General features: G+C 54.0%; 2 annotated features.

The window, feature by feature from the left end:
• Nucleotides 8,427-9,050: an enhancer, noted in NCBI's record as "H3K4me1 hESC enhancer chr14:101702363-101702986 (GRCh37/hg19 assembly coordinates)". NCBI's record gives its function as "activates a minimal SCP1, AML or CMV promoter by ChIP-STARR-seq in primed H9 embryonic stem cells {active_cell/tissue: H9 hESC(primed)}" and the evidence as "EXISTENCE:reporter gene assay evidence [ECO:0000049][PMID:30033119]".
• Nucleotides 12,035-12,681: an enhancer, noted in NCBI's record as "H3K4me1 hESC enhancer chr14:101698732-101699378 (GRCh37/hg19 assembly coordinates)". NCBI's record gives its function as "activates a minimal SCP1, AML or CMV promoter by ChIP-STARR-seq in primed H9 embryonic stem cells {active_cell/tissue: H9 hESC(primed)}" and the evidence as "EXISTENCE:reporter gene assay evidence [ECO:0000049][PMID:30033119]".

Here is a 17,874-nt window from a genome sequence, read left to right as displayed (position 1 = left end):
CAAACCTCACATCCTATCTAAAAATTCACTAAGATAGATCAGAGATTTCAATGTAAAACTACACAACTTTGTTTAAAACATAGGAGAAAAGCTTTGCAAACTGAGGGCTTGGTGGAGAGTTCTTAGACATGATACCAAAAGCACAATCCATAAAATAAAAAATCAGACATTGGACTCCATCGACATTAAGAACACTTGCACTGTGAAGTTCCCTGTTCAGAGGATGAAAAGGCAAGTCAGACTTGGAGGAAATATCTGAAAAGCATATATCTGACAAAGGACTCATAGCTAGAAAAATAACAAATTCTCAAAACTCAAAGGTATAAAACAAACAATCCAATTAGAAAATGGGCAAAAAGCATGCATAGACATTTCTCTAAAGAGAACATACGGATGGCAAATAGGCTCACAAAAAATGGGCGACAGCATTAGCCGTTAGGGAAACGCAAATTAAAATCATGAGAGTTATCAATATATGCCTATTAGAATGGCTAAAAGAAAATAAAAACTAGTGACAACCATGAGAAAATCATCAAATGTCCTCAATTTGAGAGACATTCTACAGAATACCTGACTAGTATTCCTCAAAAAACAAAACATAACAATAAACACAGTCATAACACCAAATGCCGGTGAGGATGGTGAGAAACTGGGTCTCTCATATATGGCCAGTGGGAGTGTCAGATGGCAGAGCCACTCTGGGAAAATTTGGCAGTTTCTTTAGAAACTAGGCATAGCCTTACCTTGTGACCCAGCAATTACATTCCTGGGAATTATTCCCAGAGAAACGAAAACTTTCCTTCACACCAAAACCTGTGCACAATGTTCACAGTGGCTTCATTTGCAACAGCCCAAAGCCAGAAACCGGAAGGCCCTTCGGCAGGTGCACAGTTAAACCGTGGTGCATCCGCGCTGGGGAATACTGGTCAGCTCCCGCAAGGAACCAACTGGGAACAAGCCCAGCGTGGATGGACCTTGGGGCCCGTCTCCAGAAGCTGTGTGTCACAGCCTCAAAATGACAAAATTACAGAGATGGAGACAGACTGTTGTTTACCAGGGGATGGGGATGGGGTTGGGGAGAAGAAGGGCATGGATGTGACATAAAGGGGTTGCAAGAGGGATCCTTGTGGTGATGGAACTGATTGTGCTTTCCTAAATGTACCCATGTGAGAAAATTGCATAGAACAAAATATATACACATACACACATGCACATGACGAACACATGTGCTGTGGACCGAATGTTTGCGTTCTTCCAAAATTCGTGTTGAAGCCCTAACCCCCCAAGGCATGGTATTAGGAGGTGGGGCCTTTGGGCGGTGATGAGGTCTTGTGGGTGGGGCCCTCATGATGAGATTAGTGAGAAGAGACTTAAGAAGAGATGGTCTCTCTCCAGCGTGCCGGGACTCAGCGAGAGGGCAGGGACTGAGTCTGCCAGCCCTGTGATCTCGGACTCCCCAGCTTCCGTATCTATGAGAAATAAATGTCTATGATCTGTAGTATTTGTTACAGAAACCCCCACTGACTAGGACAGCTTGTAAAACTGGTGAAATCTGAATAAGATCTGTGGATTCCACCGAGGTCAGTTTCCTGATTTTGATATTGAACTATAGTTATGCAAGATGCTACTTTTGGGGGAAACTGGGTGAAGAGTGCATGGGACTTCTGTGTACTATTTTTGCAACTTCCTGTGAATTTATAATTATTCCCCCCACCCCAACCCCCCAAAAAAAGAAGGAGAAAGAAGTAAGGGAGAGTGCGGATGCCTGGAGGGTGCACAGCGTGGGCGAGGGCCAGGCATAGCAGAAACATGGAAAGCAGCAGAAATATGCAGAGGGCAGGTTGCTTCCAACATCCTAGGCAAACCTGCCAGGCCAGACGTCTGGGGAGGTTAACTCAGGTAAGGAGGAAAGGGTGGGCCCCCAGGAATGGTGCCTGCTGGGAACAGGATGTGACCTCTCAGCCCCAGCAGAGAGAGCCCTCTGCCCACAGAGGTGTGTGCCCAGGCAAGCAGGGGGCACACGGGGACTTGTGTCCCCCACCCCGCCGCTGGGGAAAACCAGCTCTGCGGGAGCCAAAACTTGATTCCATTTGGAGCTCTGGGTAGTGCTTTTCAACAATAACCTTTTCCATCAGGGGAGGGTCTTCTGGGGCTTCTCGGAGCCACAGTCACAGCCTGGGCTTCCCAGCAGAAAGAAGTAACTAAACGATCTTGCTTTGCACACTAGGAGCTGCTGCACCCACTCTTCCCAAGTTACATGAGGACACAATTTATCTTTAGCCCGAAGCCACCTGCTTGGTAATCTGTTTCTGTGTACCCAATTGATCCCACCATCCTTACATTAGCTGGAAAAGCGGCTGACTTTATTTAAAGCAATCAGCTTGCACAGATACCCTGGACGGGGTGGTCCCAGGGTGCCCGTCTGGGCGGCCGCCGTTGGGTGACCCTGCCCTTCTTTGAATGGTGGAGCCGTCTGCTCCAACCCAGGCTAAGGAGGGACTCATGCCTTGTGAAGGTAACACTCCAACCCCAGCGAGAGGGTTTCATGCAGATTGTCGGTGGAGATTTTCCCCTCGCTGGTCACTGAAGCTATACTTCATTTTAACGTTTTGGTCCTTCTTCCAGGCAAATGATTAAATTGGTTAATAAAAAGTCTGGAAGCGTTTGTACCCAACACTGCTCGATGCTGGATAAATTGTGAAGTATATTGTTTTAATGATGTCTTAATAACTCTGAGGTTTGACCCTAAAGGAGAAGAGCTGCCTGTGCCCCGCATTCACTGGGTCATCTCAGATGCTTCTCCCCTTGTTTCTCCCATGACTGAGCAGCCACGCATCTGGACAGGTATCCAGAACACTCCCTCCCCTCCCTTCCCCTCCCCTCTCCTCTGTCTCTCCTTCTCTCCTTCTCCCTACAGGGTGACTGTGCATGTCGGCTGCCCCTCTGATTCTTCCATGGTCAGGATCTGTTGTGAGATACATTCACATAGAGGCTGAATTTAAATGATAAACAAATGTGAGTCATGACCCAACAATGTGCAAGTGGGCAGGCCACAGGAAGCCAGGGAGTGAGGGGCTTGGTCAGCCTCCTTTAGAAGGTGGCCCTGCAAAGATGCAGCCTCCGAGAAGGTGGCAGGGGCTGGCTCTTGGCAGGCCACCTACTGGGCTCTACAACCCACCGTGCGGAGGCCGTGTTTCCCCGCTTTGCAGATGTGATGTGAGGCACAGAGGGTCTGACCTCAGCAGGGGCGTTGGACGTGCAGGCGTGTGCACCTTCTGCTGAGCCCCAAAGACTCCCGGGCCCCTCCTTGCAGTTAGGACAGGACTCGCCAAATGCCTCCAGCAAAAGGTGCACATAGCTTCACTGCCTTTTTTTTTTTTTTGTATTGTGGTAACAACACATCACCTAAAATTTGCCATTTTAAAGCGTACACATCAGTAGCATTAAATATATTAACATTGTTGGCTCACCATCACCACCATCTGGTTCCAAAACTTTTTCATCACCCCAGATGAAAACCCTGAACCCATGAGCAATCACTCTCCATCTCCCTGCTCCTCCCAGCCCCTGGTAACTACTAAGCTGTCTTCTGTCTCTATGGGTCTGCCTACTCTGGACATTTCATATAAATGGAATCACACAATATGTGGTCTTTTGTGTCTGGTTTCTCTCACTTTGCATAATGTTGTCAAGGTTCCTCCATGTTGAAACCTGTATTGCATCATTCCTTTTTTATGGCTGAGTAATATTCCATTGTGTGCACACAGCACGTTTTGTTTATCCATTCATCTGTAGAGGAGATGGAGCATCTGGGTGCCTCAAGGGGTCAGTTCATCTCCAGAGGCATCTCTGAGTGGGACCTGCAGGAAGCGGGGACTTAGCATGACATTCACAGCTGCATCCCCAGTGCCTAGAACAGTACCTGGCACAGAGTAGGTGCTCAGGAAATATTTGCTGAATAATGAACAAATGAAAGAATACTTGGGTATGGTTGCCAGGAGTGACAGTGACAGCATTTTTGCTCTGATCTTCTAGAGGGAAGAGAGGGAACCCAGCTGCTACGACCACCATCTGTAGCCAACTTTTGGGAGAAAAAGCCAGTCTAGGGCTCTGGGTGCCAATCACTAGATGGGGAGTCAGGAAACTGGCCACAGGGTCGTGGCTTCACCGCACATGGGCTCTGTTACTTAGAAAGCTGAATGAGTTTCCAGTCACTGTCACAACAAATTACCACACACCCAGTGGCCCACAACAACACATGTGTATCACCTTGCTGTTCTCGAGGTCAGAAGTCTGATCCGAGTCCCAGGGGATAAAATGAAGGCACCCACAGGGCTGTGTTCCTTCTAGGGTTCTAGGGGCAGCATCTGTTTCCTTGACTTTTCCAATTTCTAGACCCATCTGAATTCCTTGGCTTATAGCCCCATCCTCCGTCTTCAAAGCCAGCCATGCAGCAGGACCTCCAATTCTCTTCCAACCCATCATCAGGTCTGTTCCTGACACAGCTGGGAAAGGTTCTCCGCTTACATGGACTCAGTGATTAGATGGTTGAGACTGCTTGGCTAACCCAGGATACTCTCCCAGCTCAAAATCCTGAATGTAATCACCTCTGGAAAGTCCCTTTTGCCATGTAAGGTGACATATTCGCAGATTCTTGGGATTGGGACACGGATGCCTTGATGGGGGGACATTATTCTGTCAGCCACAGAAGCCCCTTGGCCTGAGACTTACTTTCCCCATATGAGAAGGCAGGCCAGATAATTTCCAAGGTCCTTCCCAGCTCTTGGAGTCAGGTCATTGGAGCAGGAAGGAACAACGGCTCTGACATATCAATGGATCATCATTGAAGCAGGTGCCTTGGAGCAAGGCCCTGTCTGGCCAAATGCTTGATTTGACCTTTCCACCCATGCTTTTTCCGACTCCTCATGGTGGCCTCTGAGAGCTCTGTCCTCCTCTATTGAGGTGAGAGACACAAGCGTCAGGGAGGCCGAGTGGCAGTCCCTGGGTGGCGTGGGGACCTAGAGCCCCACTGTGTCTGTCAGACACAGAAGCAGATGGAGTGCTCTGCTGTTTGCACAGGTGATTTGTGTAAAATGCAACCACTTTAGAGCATTTTTTAAAAAAACCTATGAATTTTGCATATTTGAAATTGGTCCTTTTAGGAAACTGGAATATATACTCAATTTAGTCATTAATGTAAAAGGTTTCTGAAATGGACTTTCTCAGCAAAAATGTGGGGAGGGGGTGTTGTGGAGAATATCCGCTGATGTGACTGTAATGGTTGAGCTATTTGCCTTCTTTAAGTCTTTTTCTCAGGAGGAGCGAGCTGCAGAAAGAGAAACTGCAGAATGATGTGCAACATCTGGAGATTCTAGAGGTGAAACATCTGTATCTGTGGGCTGGCTGGCCCCTGGTCCCTAAATCCACGTGTTCTTTCTGAAGCTGGCTCCGCAGATGCCAGCAAGCAGCTGAGAAGACACGCAGTGTGCGGCTTCTCAAAATCCAAGATGGGACCGAGATATTCTCCCGGGGAGATGCACAAGCTCCCAACACCAAGCCCCCCAAAGCTTTCATCTTTACCATGTCCTTCCCTCCACTTAGGCTCCTCTGTGGATCTTACCATCTTGCCCCGAAAGACTTAACACTGCTGGGGGAGGATGGTCAGCACAAACACTACCCTTTGCTTGGAAGTGTGCCCTTTCAATAGTTCAAAGGGTATCTTTCAAGGGGCCGAGCTCTCAGAGTACAAGGCAGGGCCATGCACACACTGCGGTGGCCCCAGTTGTTTGCATAACACCTGCGGCAAGAGCTCTGCAGGTCGGCACCCACCGAGGGAGAATTGCAGCTGACCCTGAACCTGGGCCAGCAGCGCCTGGCAGAAGGGCTGAGGTCACAGACACTGCCTTCTTCCTGATAAGTTTCTGAGAAACACAGGTATGTGATGGGATGAGTCTGCAGCAGGCTGGGCTTCCTGGTACAGCCAACAGGATGGAGCTGTCCCGCTCTCATCGTCAGAGGAGCTTCGTAGGTGCTGCTTGTTGAGATCATGGTGGTTTGATCCACAGGAAGGATGCAATGCATCTATTTGTACGAGTGTGTCTTCATTCATCCCTTTGTTCATTCAAGAAATATGCGGGGACCTTCCTGCCTGCTCCAGGGAATAAAAAATAAATGCGAAAATCTTCCTGCCCTCCTGGAACTCACAGTCTAAGGAAAGAGACATACTGGCAGGCCACCTGTTACAATGTAGCCCCTTTGTTTATTGATGGATTCATTCATTCATCAAGTACCTCTTGCAAGCTGTTTATGTGGTAGGTACCTGGGTGCTCACCAGGGATGAGTCCACAAGAAGCAGTTAGTTAAAATGTCAGACGTTGCCTGTTGAGTGGTGAGCAGACATAAACCTTTTGAACAATGTGAAAATAGCTCCTCAAGAATCATTTGTTGAGAAAAGACTCTTAGGCCTAAAAGGTTCATTTGAAACCTTATATTTGATAACCACATATCAGATGCAGCCAACAGTATTTGCTGCTTCTTGCATCCATTGATCACTCACTGGGCACCCAGTAGGCACCAGAGGAGTACAGGCATGACAGAGACACAGCCCCAACTTCCAACAGCTCGTGGGTGGTTTGGGAAGAAGAAAGGTCAGAGCCCAGCGTGAGACCCATCTCTCACCCACCTGATCAGCACACAGCAAGTGCCTGGACTTCTTCTGGGACTTCTGGGCTCTACCTGGAGTTCTCTGCCTCTTCAGGGACCACCCCATTTGCTTGATAATTGAGTGACTCCTGGTAGCCTCCCCCATCCCATTGCCTCACAGTACTTCTGAGGGCTGGAGACAGTTTCTTTCTACAGATGAGAGCACCAAGACCCTCTGAGGAACGGTCACCTTGAAGGAGTGGCCAGCCTCCTCTGAGACCGGGGTGGCAGGAGGCACGCTTGGAGACCCACTTTCACTGGGTGGCCTGGTCCTTAGGACCAGCCCATTTCTGCCCTTTGAACATCAGCAGATTCATTTTAGGGCACTTGGTCCTTGGGGTTGGCTCTTGCTGCAAAGGCACCATTTTCTCCATTTAGAAACTTGGTCCTTTTGGAAGCTGGAACATATCATTAATTTATTCATTAGTTTTAAAGATTTCAAAACAGACTTTCTCAGTGAAAAAAAATGTGGAGACATGTAATCCCAGCACTTTGGGAGGCCGAGGAGGGCGGATCACGAGGTCAGGAGATCGAGACCACCCTGGCTAACATGGTGAAACTCCGTCTCTACTAAAAAAAAAGACAAAATATTAGCTGGGCGTGGTGGCTGGTGCCTGTAGTCCCAGCTACTTGGGAGGCTGAGGCAGGAGAATGGTGTGAACCCGGGAGGCAGAGCTTGCATTGAGCCAAGATCGCGCCACTGCACTCCAGCCTGGAAAAAAAAAAATGTGGAGGCAGAGGAGGGCCCTGCAGGAAGCTGGAGCTTTGTCCTGTGGAGGATGGGCGCTGAGTGTCCAGGCTGGGGCCTTAGCACTTGCAGGAGGCGGCGGCGGCGTTGGACATGTGTTCCTGCCTGGCAGAGACCTGGGGACACGGAGCTGAGGGGTCCAGGCAGGGGTGGCCAGTGCTCTGAAATCAGCCAAGTTTGCCTAAAAAGAAACCGAGGAGTGTGGAAGTTAGGACTTGTGTCTCCTCCAGATACCACCTGGGAAGGAGGCCAGGGGAGGCGGAGTCCCCTTACCTGACAGCTGCTTTGTGAGACTAGGCACTGTGTGCCCATGGGCATGGATGGGGCTGGCCGGTGGAGAGGGCATCTGGAGCAGGCCACAGCACCCATGAGGTCTTGGGAGCAGGACACACTGGGCCAGAGTGGGTGGGAGGGAGACCACGCAAAGGTTCTGCTCAGCCAACCCCGCAGCGAGTGTTTCTGTACAACAGAGAGGCTGTTTTAATTCAGACTCTAAGAAGGATGGACTCTGCCCATCACAGGGGGACTCGGACCCCTTCTTGGGGACCCCATGCTGAGTCCGCAGCCCCCAAGACCAGCATCAAGTCCTCAGGGCCTGGCACTCACCTACCACCAGCAGTGGGAAGGAGCTGCAGAATTCAGTGACAGGTCACACATCCACTGCTTACCTGCCTGGGCTGAGACCAATGCCTTTGGGATGCACCCTGGGAGGGCCTGAGGACAAAGGCAGAAGATAAGGTCCACCATCAGCGATGGAGGCAGGCAAGGATCTGGCACACTCCACAACTTCCTCCTGCCCTGCTGGTAACGGGCCCTCAGAGGCACCTGAATGAGGGAAGGTGGGCCTGGCATGTGTGCCAGGACCCTGGGAGGCCGTCCAGTAGACGGAGGCCATGAATGCGACTGCAGCTGAACTTTGAGCCGATAGGCACATTCTTTTGAGTTAACAACCCCAGTGGGGTGTTTTCATCTGCGGGACCCCGGGCAGTGGGCTGTGCAAGCCCAGCTGCTAGAGTCCATCTGAAGTGGGGAGCTGGCAGAGGCAGCCCGAGATGGACAGACCCCATCACCTGAGATGGGCGTCCCTCAGGGGAGCAAGGCACAGCCCTGTGCCTGGGAAAGAGAAAATCCACCGGGAACCTGGAGGAGAGACAGTGCTGTTGTTGTCAGGCTCAGCAAATAAAAACACAGAACACTCTGTTACATTGGAATTTCAGACCAACAATAAATAACGTCTTCATATAAGCGTATCTCAAATGTTGCATCTTTGTCAGACATTCCAACGTAACTGGGCATTGTTTTTCTTTTTTTTCAGATATTTCATCCGGAAATTGTGTAAGGAAGACGAGTTCTGACAATGCTATGAGGCTGCCGTTTGGGGGGATTCTGTGGTGGGAGGACAGCCCTGCCCGACCTCCTGAGGGCCCCCCACCCATCACCATGGCCCTGAGAGGACCTCTGTAACTTCCGCTCACAAGCACTTTTCTCTCCCAGGCCCACTCTCTTGACCAAAATAGAGACTCTTGAAAATGCGTCTGGCAGGGACAGGGGGATGGGTATTGGCCCAGCCCCTCGCTTTCCTGGCCTGAGTCCTCATTGGCCCAGAAAGGACTCGTTCTTCTCTTTCCTTTCCTCCCAAGAACGGGAAAGCCCGGGTGGCTGGCTCCAGCAGCAGGACACGCAGCTCAATCCTGCAGAAGCTTTGAGGATCCCCTCTGTAGGGGGTTCTGAGGGTACATTCAGGGCAGCTCCCAGACCCTGCTGATCAGGTCTTAAAGTCCAAAACTCATGAGATGTCTGATTGCGAGGGTCCTCAGCCCTGCCAACCCAGATGCTGCAGCTGAGGTCTGGAACCAAGGGGTGACCTGGCAGAGGCCACCAGGAGCTGGTGGCAGGCAGGAGGCATCTCCGGGTGGGCGCATCGGATGGGCTGGTCCTTCCTCTTTAAGATCCCTGGCAGTTGGTTTAGTCAAAAGGGGCTGGTTCTCCCCTCCAGAAGCCTGGGCGAGGTGGCCCACCTGGAAGGGACAGGCACCATCCTGGTGGGTCTGGAGGTCTTAGGTCAGAAAATCTGCTGTTTTCTTGGAGGGGGGCTGGAGGACAGAGCCCCTGCACAGAGGGGGCCCATGGCCTTGGTCCTTCCGGGGCCCTATCTGTGGTTCGCTGTCCACTCCAGCCCCAGGCCCTTGGGCACTGAGGATGGCCACTGGGGGGCAGTGCGAGCCAGGAGACCTGGCAGGGATCCACTGGAGCTCCCTGCCCAGCGGGCCCTGCCCAGGAGGAAGCGGCCCAGGGTGGTGAGGGGCCCTGGCAGGCACCCCCGCCTCTCCTGCCTGAGGCGGTTTGGGGACCAAGGCCCTGCTTGGGTACTGAGCTTTTCCCTGATGTCTGTGATCACAGCCCTGGCCATACACAATCACGCACACACACACACGTAAGCACACACATGAACACACGTACACGCTCATAAACATCCACACTCAAGTGCACACACGCAAACACATGTACATGTACACGCAGAGACAGTCATACTCACACATGTACACAGACGTGCACTCACACGCGTTTATAAGTCACACACAACCCACAGAGACATGTTCCCACACACACGCACCCTATTTTGCACATACGGCACACACACAGGCCCAGGAGGGTGGCAGAGGCACCAAATGCCCTCTCGGAATGCAGGGACCTTGAATTTTCCATTTGTTTCTCCCTTGCCGGCAGCCTAGCTGGGAGCTGGGCTCAGACCCTGCTGCTTGAAGCAGGGTGAGCCCCTGTTAGGTCCCCACCGCCAGGCTGGGCCTTCCTCAGAAGCCCCTTCTGCTGCCAAGCAGACCCCCGGGTCCCTGGGCTCACTGCCCTCCCTCTGACCTTGTACCCCAGCTGGGCCGTGTCCTCTGCGAGGCTGGACCCCGCGTCCCTTAGGAGCCCACCCTAGAGGGGGATTCTCTGCTCTCCCGCAGCCCCACTGTGCGGCGTGATCGCACTGGGTGGTCGTGTCCTCTTCTGCGCAGGGACTCCTCACTAGGCTGGAGTCTGAGAAAGGCCCCCCACCCCCGCTGCTCCCCCACTTCCCTCTCTCTTCCGCCATTGTCCTTAGCTGTCTTCTTGCAGCTGCCATCCTCCCTCTGTCTTACAAAGGGAAACCTGGGCCCCCAGCACAGGGAGTGGCTCGCGCAGGGTCACACGCAAGTCAGGAGTGTCTTTTCACAGCTGTCCGAATGCAGGGGGAGCTGCTCCCCTCAGGGACCTTGGTGAGCCCACCCCTGTCGGGTGGGCGATGAGAACCGATGCCCTGAAGTCCCTCCCCCACCGACTCTAGACCACCCTATTTTCATCTGGCTCTGTGAATATGGAAACAACACAGCCCCCAGCTCCCACTCCCTTCCTCTCTCTGCAAACAAGCATTTCCTCACCCCTAAGTGCCATGTCTGCCTGAAAGGTCATGGCTCCTCGAGACCTCCCTACTCTGCTCCCCCAGGGGACCGTCTCTCCTACCCCCTGGACATACAGCCCTTGGCTGTGGGTGCAGAGCCCTTGGCTGCGCTTTCCTTGTTGGGTTTTCTGCTGGTGCGGTGAAGGAGGGCCACCCGACTCCCTCACCTCAAAGAGGGGGACGTGGGAGGCCCCAGCAGAGGGTACATCTGCAGCAGGCAGGGTGTGTGGTGGGGCTCTGGGGCTCTGGGGCTCTGGGGCTGTGGGGCCATGGGGCTGTGGGCTGTGGCTGTGGGCCGTGGTCTGGCCTCACCACTTGCTGTGAACAGGTTCCAGCCCACAGCCTTTTTTCATGGAAGAAATTCTCTGGCTAAATCCAATTCTCCCAGTTGCCAGACAAGCCTGCCACAATCCCATATCCTGTTCTAGGGACGTTTGTTTAGCTTTGTGCACAGACAAAATCGGTGAGAGTTTCTACATACAGAGTGTGCCTTAACGGGCTTGCATTTGAGGCTGGGGTCTGTGTGGGTGAGGGCGGAAGGTGGGCCTTGCTTCCGACCCTCCGCTGTGTGGCCTTGGGGAGTCGCCATCCCCCAGTCTCCACTCCTCCTCTGCTGTAAAACGAGGACAATGGGGCCCAACCTTTGGGGTTGCTGTGAGGATCCCTTTATACACCCGGCAAGGGGCCCCTTTCAACAGTTCCCCCAGAATGGGGATTGAAATCCTGAGGGATTCCCGTTGCCATCAGCATAAGAGGCCTCATCTTCCCCACCGTCTCCGAGGGCCCTGGATTATTAAGAGAGTAACCAAAACTGAGGTTTTCATTCCCCATGCTCCTCTGAGCTCCTCGGTCCCGAGATGCTGTTGAGGCCATGTTTTCAGTTCCCCAGGCCTCCGGCTGGCAGGAGCCTCCCCTTGGCTCTGATCCTGTGCCATCAATCTTGCTCACCAAGACTCAGCCCCCGTCTGGGTGGGCTTAGGGAGGCGGGAGGCCTGGTGGCTTGGCACGTGGAGGGGGCCGCAGAGGCGCATGCAGGAGGCCCTGGCCTTCCTGGGGAAACGCCTGCCAGCACCTTTTGCAAACAGCCCGCCGGGGCAGGAGCAAGAATGCGCGGGAAGGAGCAGTGTGGGGAGGAATGGTGCGGGGTGGAGTGGTCTGTGCCGTGGGCCCTTGGGGCCTGAGGAAGGGCAGGTTTTCAGGAAGCCCCTGAGGCCCAGGGTGCACTGTGCACCCTCATTTTGCCACACGTCTCCTCTTGGCCTTTGCAAACTCTGCTCTCCAGCTGCCAACATTTTTTGACAGCGAGGCACCGCTTTAACCAGACCCCAGCTCCTGGGCCTGAGAGCACTGCTTTACGCGGGCTAAGCACAGGCCCGGCGCCGAGAGAAAACACATTCATGAAAGCATCCACATTAATCATGGGCGATGGCACAGAAAGGAACCGAGGCTAGCACTAGACAGCACTGTGTGTGGGGGCACTTGTGTGTTCATGTGTGTGTGCGTGCTTACATGTGAGCGTGTGTGTGTGCACTTACAAGAATGTGTGTACGGATGTATGCACGTGACCGTGTGTGTGTGTGCGAGTGCATATGCTCACGTCTGTGTGTGCGTGACTGTGTGCGTACCTGCCTGTGGGGGGGCACATGTGTGGGCATGTGTATGTGGGCATGTGTATGCAGGCATTCATGTGTGTGCACTGTGCTTGAACGCTGGCAACATGTCACCAAGAATTCTGCTAGGCAAGGAGAAAGAGGCCCGATGGGCTGTCCCAAGCTTTGTTTTGAAAGGCCCTTTTCCTCTCCTCCTCACAAACCAAGTCATGCCTCTCTGACTTTGCCATTTCCCTTGGCCCTGGCGGCGGTGTTTGCCAGCTCCGCAGGGAGGTCTGGTGGTCTGGTTGTGGGGTGGTGTTTCCCACATTGTTGAAAGGTTTGGTGGGCAAAAGCATCCAGTTTTCATCCTGACCCCAAAACCTCCAGCCAAGGCAACTGACACTCAGTCAATAATAATACAAAATTAATCTCATGTTTATATGGAATCTTCCACCCCAGAGACAATCGCCTTGTTTGGAAGCTGGGGGTGGATTAGCTGGTGCGTGACCCGTGTGGGTGAAAGTGAGGAAAGCCAGCTTCAAGGCCAGGCCACCACCACACTCTGTGACCTGGGACCTGCCACCCACCCTCTTGGCCTCGACATTCCCTAGAAGGAAGGACCAGGGCCAGGTGTCTCCTGGAACTCTGAAATCCTGAATCAGAAGTGTGACCCTGAGAGTAGGTCTGTGTGCTCTTGCTAGGAGGATTTGCTGTCTAAAGGCCATGGCATCCAAGGTAGGTTCTGAACATGCAGAGGCTCATGGAGGAGGAATACAGGAGGAGGGGAAGGCATAGGGTTGGCTCCTGGGACTTGTGGGCTGTGTGGGGTTTGGGGTCTGTTTCATGCTTGACACATGTAAACATTTACTCAAACTCTGTCTCACTTCATGAAGGAACACCTCAGCCTACAGGCACGATATAGCAAAACTAAGTGAAACACAAACACACAAAAGGTCCCAGGTAAGAGTAAATATACATGAGAAGAACTGAACAGCAAAGAGAAAAGTAAAACACAAATATACAGGCCAATAGGTCCTGTAGAGTGGATTTGTCTGAAGTTTTGAATTTGTCTCTGAGATTCCTGGAAGCCAAAATGAAAAGGGAAATAAGATTAGTTCAGTTGTCTTCACAATCCCTTAGAATAAGATTTCCCAACTCTCTATCCATCAGGGCACACAGAGAATATGTGAGACCCCAGGGGAAAATGTATGGGGCCACTGTCATCATCCTGGAGACCGTCCCATGAGCTGAGCAGAGCAGTGTCTTTGCACACCAGTGTTAGGAAAAGGCTCTGTCAAAGACAGCAGTCATTCAGTGCTCTGGAAGGTGCAAAGCTTTTTCTAGCTTTGGCTCTGAAAGATGCTTTTCTCATGAGGCTCCATCTAGGTGGCCCTGAAATGAAAAATGGATAATGTCCCCAACAGCATCTGGACAGCAAATGCGGTGATGAGTCTCATAAAACTGCTTCTTGTAACTGCCCCCCGTGAAAGCTGAGGGCACGCATCCAAATGGCAGAGGCTGCAAGGTGAGAGTGAGCTACAGGCAGACAACCTTGTAAACCTGGCTGGGCACTGTGCCCACCTGCAGGGTGAGGCAGGTACTCGTGCCTTTCCTGAGCACCTGCTATGTGCCCAGTCCTGATAGGAGGTTTATATACATGGTCCTGTTCAATCCTCCCACACTGAGCACAGTGGCTCCAGAGGCCCACTTCATAGATGAGGGCCCAAATCTCATCCATGACCCAGCCTCACACCAGGTCTCTGTGGCCCTGCAGCAGCTCTGTCCTCTCCCTTGGCCTGGTCCTTGGACCTAGTGGTCACCTAGGGTGCAATGCTCAGGCTGTGGTTCTGGAGCTTTCCAGCTTGTTCGAGACAGCAGGGTGAGGCACCTGCACAGGTTAGGGTGGGCACCACCACAGCCCAGGCCTAGGCATGGTGCCCTAGACAGGGCACTGATGGTCAGCTCAGCCTCAGAAAGGGCCAAGGCTCACACACCTGCAAGTCCCTGCATGGGATGAGGTCCTCACACCCTCCCTGTGCCCTTGTCCTCGCTGAGCCCTTCCTTGGGGTGACCCCATCTTATCCACAATCACACCTCTATCCCCATTTCACAGACTTGGAAGCAGGCACAAATGATACAGGAGTGCTGGGAAGGGAAGAGCGTGGTCCCTTTAAACGATACGGAAGCAGGGAAGGGAAGTGCTGGGTAGAGAAAGGCGGATCCCTGGCCGGGGCTCCACCCCCACGGACCTAGATGAGGACAGGCATTTCCTGCCCATATGCTGCATTTACCAAGACCACCCTGGACTGCCTCGCCTCCATCCTGGGCCTATACAAACCCTCAAGACACTAGCGGGCCAGAGGAGGAGAAGAGCACATCGGCCGCGGAAGGAGACACCAAGCGGCTGGTCTGGTCATGGAGAGGCTGCGGAGGGGGCGAGGCTGCGGAGGGGGCGAGGCTGCGGAGGGGGCGAGGCTGCGGAGGGGGCGAGGCTGCGGGGGGGGGCGAGGCTGCGGGGGGGGGCGAGGCTGCGGGGGGGGCGAGGCTGCGGGGTGGGGGGCGAGGCTGCGGAGGGGGCGAGGCTGCGGGGGGGGCGAGGCTGCGGGGGGGGCGAGGCTGCGGGGGGGGGGCGAGGCTGCGGAGGGGGCGAGGCTGCGGAGGGGGCACGTCGGCGGGAGAGCACAGCGACAAGCCCCGGCACACCCGCAGGCCCTTGAACCAGAGGGACGAGTCGGAGTTTGGCTGGGGCAGTCAGGGGAGAGCCGGGGCCGCCAGCAGCCCAACTCCAGGGGAAAACCGTCTCCCTTCTGGCTCCCCCATGGGCTGAGAGCTATAAATAAAACTCAATAAAACCTTAATAAAACTCAATAAAACGTTACACTTATTCTCCAAGCCCAGGTGTGATTCAATTCTTCCAGTACACCAAGGCAAGAACCCTGGATGCACAAAGCCCTCTGTCCTTGCCTCAAGGTGGAGGGTCTAATTGAGCTGGTTAACAAAGGCAAACTAAGAGAGTACCTGTAACACACACCCACTGGGGTTTCAGCTGTAAACATTCACCCCTAGACGCGGCCATGGGGTCGGACCCCCATGACCTGCCCTCTGTGTGCTCCCCTAGAGGTTTGGGCAGCAGGGCACTGATGGAGCGAGTCACATCCCCATCGCACGCCCTGCGAGAGGGACAAGGGAACCTTTCCTGTTGTACAGGAAGGTAATAATAGCTTAGCTGGGATGAGAACCCAGACGTATCCGTAGTCTGGAGGCTCGTGTTTAGAGACGGACAGCCGTGAAGATGTTACACCTAGGGGAGGAGCGAGGGGATAGCTACCCAGGAGCACGCAAGGAAGGGAGGAGCTGCCCAGAGGGAGACCAGGGCCAAGGTCTCTGGGCAAGGGCAGGGGAGGGCCAGGGAGGGCTGCCGGACAGTGGAAAGCGCTTGCCAGGCAAGTGGGCTTTGGGGAGCAGGGAGCATTCTAGACAGAGAAGACTGCACACAGAGGCCAATGTGAGCTGCTGGGCAGTCCTGGGGAACTCCCAGTGGGCAGAAGGCAGAGCTGCAGGGCACAGGGGGCCTTGGGAGTCAGCCTAGGAGGCTTCCCAGGCTCTGGCCCTGAAGCCTGGGGCTCCACAGACGTGAGTCTGCACCATAGAGGCATCGTCTTGACGTGAGCACGCTGGCAGACGCCACACACATTCACCAGAATGACGCTGGTTATTTTATTTACCTGAAGTTCCCCATGAATTTTAAGTTTTTTATTTTTATTTTTCATTTTTTAGAGAGAGAAACAGTGAAACGCAGTTGCTGGGCCCTCTGTGTCTTTCTGCAGAGAGCAAGGAAGGCCCAGGAAATGAGTGGCCTGGACCGTCGGTGGGTGAGGCCTGGACCCCGAGACCCCTCTCCTGGAGGGAAGTCAGGATGGAGAGAGACCCAGATCTAAGGCCACGAGGACTTGGCCTCCCAGAGGGCTGGGGGGCAACCAGTGAGATGGGGTGGGGGCTGTGAGGCCCCAGAGGCGTTGAGAAATGTGAAATTCCTGGCAAGAAAAGGAAGTTGTTTGAAGGAATTGGTGGGCTGGGAGCCAGAGCCCTGGGGGCTCCTCCAGGGACACCGGCAGACGGGAGTTACTTTGTCACCTTGTTCCTCGGATTGACTGTGTTTCTCTGAGGACGCCTCGGGCGGAGACTGGGCCACAGGCAATGCATATTTGGGATAGCGCCTGTGCTGAATCCTTTGCCCAGACATCACACTTCCCTTCTGCAAGGCTGAATCCTAGCTGAGAGACATCCTCCCAAACACCAATCAGCGCTCAGCGCTCCCCACCAGGCGGCACAGACCCCGCGGTTCTCACAGACCCCGCGGTTCGCACAGACCCCGCGGTTCGCACAGACCCGGCGGTTCTGCAGCTCCGTTCTCCGGGGTCCTCCAGTGCTTGAATTTTGAGAAACGCTGCGGTCAGCAATGGAGATTTGTCTTTGAAATATTATCCCACAAGATGGCCCATGTGGCCCCATCTGGTTCCCCTCCCTTTCCCCTCACACCACCATGGATGGACGGCCGGGGCTCTGGTCGCTCCCTCTTGAGTCTGTGCTCCCCACTTGGGTTCCCGGGGAGATTTTCCTGAATCCAGCACTGCTGTTCCCCTCACTCAGGGGCCAGCCTCGAAGGTCATCTCCAGTCCCCAAACCTGCATTCAGAGCTCTGCAGGGCTTTGAGACACTAACTGTGTGACCTGCTGCGGCCATTCTGAGAGAGGCCTCCGCGTAAGCTGCTCTGTGTCTGACGCCCCTACAGGGTGGTCTGCACAGCGTCCCCGGCCTGCGGTGTCCAGGGAGGGCCAATGGGTATCAGGCCGAGACTCCTGCCCCGACCTGCTTCTCCCTGGGCTCTCCCTCCCATGGAGCCCCCTCCATCTGACCCCAAGTTGGTTTCATCCCCAGCAACAGGCGACATGGTGGGGGAGCCTTCCCGAGGGCTGCTCTCTCAAGCGGCTCCCTCGAAGCTGGTGTTTCGATGCCTTCACGGCTCTTTGTTGTTCTCATCTATTATTTCTTCCTGCTGCCCTTTTGCAGGCACGCAGAACGCTCTCCAGGGCTGATGGTTTGTGGACTGGAGGGCAAGAAACCTTACCCTGTCCTCCTCCACCTTCGACATCTCTCCCCGATACAAACCTGCCCAGATTGTCCGGGGCTTGGGAGCCGCACGGGGCCGTGTGACTGGGCATCCTCTGAGTGTATGCGTGTGCAAGCGTGTGTGGGCACATGCTGTCTGACTTGAGGTGCACATCCTTCTGTCTTTCGGCACAGGTCTGCGGGTGCACGCATCTCCCCAGGAGGGTTGGCCCCCGCCTTGTGGTTGTCCCTCCCTATGTGCCTCCCACCCCTGGGTGCGTCTG

Source organism: Homo sapiens, chromosome 14 (assembly GCF_000001405.40).
Source record: "Homo sapiens chromosome 14, GRCh38.p14 Primary Assembly".
Lineage (NCBI taxonomy): Eukaryota > Metazoa > Chordata > Mammalia > Primates > Hominidae > Homo > Homo sapiens.
This window is presented reverse-complemented; position numbering and strand designations above follow the sequence as displayed.